Below are 3,957 nucleotides of genomic sequence, written 5' to 3' on the forward strand. Positions count from 1 at the left end.
TCTTTCAATGAAGCTTAAAAGAACTGATCAGAATTTACAAACTCTTGTCCCAGTGCGGGCTAAGACTAGTCTTGATAAGAATGATCAACAGGAAAAGTCTACGTAAATTTAAGTTTACGTGAATAATTAGAAAAAGCTCTTTCTTATGTAATAAACCTAATGTAAACTTGTAGGAAAAGATTGTATAAAACATTTGACTTGTGATCACAACAAGATAAGAGGGCATGTCTTCTATGCTACTAGACTTGGAAGTTTCAAGTTATTCTGAAAATAATTATTAAAGCAAGAAAAATTGTTTTGCATATTGAAAATATTTATTGGTAAACTATGAATAGTAAAATAGTATAAAACTAATTGATATCTCAGCAAATCCTGGTGTGAATTTTGAATTTTAAGGATTAAGAAATTATTCCATAAAGAGCGAGAGCAACCAATCGAAACATAAAAGCATTTTGCCATGCTGCTTCTCAATAAGTATAAAGGTCACAACAAAGAGGAGTGAATAATAATGAAAATAACATTTAGCCCGTGAATAACTGCTGTTCAAATGTAGAGTATGTTTTCGTTTTTCTTTTGAGATGGAGTCTCGCTCTGTCACCCAGGCTGGATTGCAGTGGCGCGATCTCGACTCACTGCAACCCCCTCCCCGCCAGGTTCAAGAGATTCTCCTGCCTCAGCCTCCCCAGTAGTTGAGATTACAGGCATGCACCATCATGCCTGGCTAATTTTTGTATTTTTAGTAGAGATAGAGTTTGGACATGTTGGCCAGGCTGGTCTCAAACTCCTGACCTCAGGTGATCCACCCACCTCAGCCTCCCAAAGTGCTGGGGTCAGAGGCATGAGCCACCACGCCCCCGCCTGTTTTCTAAAGTTATAGTTTGTCAATGGCAGAGTTCAGATTACGTTCTCTGTCTTCAAAGTCTGGATTGTTGACTACTGCCTTTCTCAGAGTTTCATGTGAGAATCAAAAATTCAAACTTCAGTAAATTGTTCTTCCAGTTCAAGCACAGAAAAATATATTTACATACTACCATATTTCAGAATTAAACTTCCCACACAGACTTTTGGATTAAAAAAATGCAGGCTATTAATCATGGTAAGTGTTCAGGAATGGAGAAATCAGGATTTAATAATGGCAGTGATTAAGAAAAAAAATCTATTACAAAAATTGCAAGACTAATGCAAATTCTAAATTAATCATTGCTAAAATTTAATGTAAATATCAGAGCAACTTCTTTGAGAAAAACTGCAGTCAAATTAATAAAATTATTCTACATCTAATAATTGAATTTAGATTTAATAGGAAAGTTAAATGGAAGAAGTAAATGAGAAAGGAATAAGTATGCTACACTTTTTGGAGAATAAATATGGTTTCAATTGTATATAGGTAATTAAAAAATTTAAGTCTAAATATGTTCTTATTAATTATAAGTAATTACTAATAGATAAAAATAGAATATATACCTTCTAAATCAAAGATGGGGAAAAATAAAATACTATAATATGTTAGGGAAATGTCTATAATAAAATAATGTAAAAAAAAGTGCACTATGTGATTTTATTTTTGTACCTTTTCCTTATACTTTTCACATTATCTAAAAGAAATGTTATCAAATTTTGAGTAAGAAAAATATTTTAAATGGTAGATTGCAAAAACAAGAGACTCAATTTTATCAACTAAAACAGAAATTTAGAAAACAACGAAGAAAACAAGGGAGGAAGGAAGGTGGGAAGGAAAATGTTCAATAGTTTATTTTGTTTTGTATAAAAACTTTGTGTCAACCTCTAAGGACAAATAAAAATTAAAAAGAAAAAGCTTCATTCTTCCAGCTTCCAGATAATAGTAAGAGAAGACCTTTTTTTTTTTTTTTTTTTTTTTTTGTTAGAACCTTTACTTTCTTTTCTCTTTGAAATGTATATAAATCCTTTTCAAAACTAGATAGGTCATTTGTCAGCTTTATGACCCAGGGATGTCTTTCTCAAAGATCTGAGAGCCATCTCTTTGACATGTAAAAATCAAGGAAGATAGCAGCCCAATCTCCAACTTTCTGTGGGAAGGCAAGAGCCTGACTTCAGTGCCTTTATTCCAAGTTTTAAAACTACCTCCTGTCATAAAGAAATGAGAAGATTGTTTCTCCAGAAGAAAAAGGTAACTAGCTAGCATGGATGGTCCCCCTAATTACCAGGTAAAGTGAGGATGAACTATGTGAGCAAATGATGCTGTCAAGTCCTCTTACTTGAGGACTAGTTACTGCTTATCTTGGAAAGATGTTATATATCTGCTTGGCTATATAAAACGGTGAGATTTCTTTCTGTCTTTGCAATTTCTTAGCAGATTGCCTGTGATGAGCTTCGCATTCTGATTTGATATTATTCCATAGTGAAAGAATTTTCCTTCTTTTTACCTTTGTGGAGAGAATTTCTAGGCTGGGAGAATGTGTTATTTTAAATTATATTTTCCCATCAATCCATAGCAATTCATCTGAATTATGAGTTTCAGGATGTTATCTCCTTTCTTTCTCTCTTCCTCTCTGAGCAAATAAGGTATTAATTGTTCTCTATTTAGTAAAGAAAAAATTTGAGGTGTAGAAAAAAAAGAGATCAAAGAGCTAACAAAACTTTAGGTACTATTAATACATTACAAGCATTGCCTCATAAAGACTTCTAAGAAAGTATTCTACAGAGTTTAGCAGTCAAGCTCTAAATATGAAGTCTGTGATGCATAGACATTCCTGAGATGATGAACAGTATGTGCCTGCCAAAAAATCCTTGCATTTTAGAGCATTCATCTCCCTATCTTAAGGAATTTAGGAGTACAAGCTCTCTGGCAATCAGGAAAAAACATTGTCTGAATTCAATTTCTATGGACTTCCTTTATCTCTCTTAGCCTGCTCCTCTCCTCAGACAAGGATCTCTTCTCTTTTGTTTAGGATCAGAGCTCTAGCAAAGGTAGATTTGGTTGACGTACTATGTGTGTTTTCTTCTTTAAGTTGTATTTATTTTGTTTAGACACACACATGGGCTCATCTTTGTGAAAATTTAGAAGACATTAATTCTAGGTCTTCTATTGAAGAACTTAATATTTGTTATTTATTTAAATGCCAACTGAAATTATTAATAATGAAAAGTTTGCTTGGCCCTCACAAATAAATATATTTATCTATAATATAAATACTGAAGAAACTTGCCTAGGAATAGAACTTGATGGCATTTGTTATTTGGCAAATTTTTGTTGAAGCCAATCCTCAATCCATACTGGGTGCCAGTACTCTAGATTAGCATTTTGAATGTTTCCCTTCCATCTCTTCCTTATGTCTAGCCACCTACCATTCTTGGAATCCATGTCCCGGATTGGATGAAAAATCATGGCTCTAGATATTTCATCCAAGAACATGTTCCAGACTACAGTACTGTTAAAAAAAACACACACACACACAGGGAATTGTGAAAGGTTAATTATACTGAGGTACATTCAAACTCAATTATTGCCTCATGAAGACTACTGAAAATCCTGTTACAGGTATCTATCAGAACATGTTATTAATTGCCAATAGATCAAAAATAATACCAGTATTAATTGTGAATTTTAAGAACACATACAATCTCCATTTACTTGGAAGATCAGGTATCAAAAAAAAAAGATATGGTAGATTTTGTGAGTTATCACAAAATTGATATGTGACAACCTTTGAACTATAAATCACAAAGCTGTCGTTTTGTTACTGGTGAATTAGGATCACAGTAAATATTACATTAGCATCACACAGAAATGCTGAGGGAAATGTATATGCATGCCTATGCACACTGGTATGTGTATGTCTCTGTGTGTGTGTGTGTGTGTGTGTGTGTGTCTGTATGTATGTCTCTGTGTGTGCTTGAGCCCATAATAAAGAAAATGTCCTGGTGTGCAAAACCAAGAACAAACTGCCATTAGAGCAGTAATGAACCTATTGCTGC

The 3,957-nt window shown here is 33.5% G+C and overlaps 2 annotated features.

Annotated features, from left to right (window-relative positions):
• Positions 1,634 to 2,437: an enhancer, noted in NCBI's record as "OCT4-NANOG hESC enhancer chr14:41872411-41873214 (GRCh37/hg19 assembly coordinates)". NCBI's record gives its function as "activates a minimal SCP1, AML or CMV promoter by ChIP-STARR-seq in naive H9 embryonic stem cells {active_cell/tissue: H9 hESC(naive)}" and the evidence as "EXISTENCE:reporter gene assay evidence [ECO:0000049][PMID:30033119]".
• Positions 2,554 to 3,089: an enhancer, noted in NCBI's record as "NANOG hESC enhancer chr14:41873331-41873866 (GRCh37/hg19 assembly coordinates)". NCBI's record gives its function as "activates a minimal SCP1, AML or CMV promoter by ChIP-STARR-seq in naive H9 embryonic stem cells {active_cell/tissue: H9 hESC(naive)}" and the evidence as "EXISTENCE:reporter gene assay evidence [ECO:0000049][PMID:30033119]".

Source organism: Homo sapiens, chromosome 14, assembly GCF_000001405.40.
Source record: "Homo sapiens chromosome 14, GRCh38.p14 Primary Assembly".
NCBI lineage: Eukaryota > Metazoa > Chordata > Mammalia > Primates > Hominidae > Homo > Homo sapiens.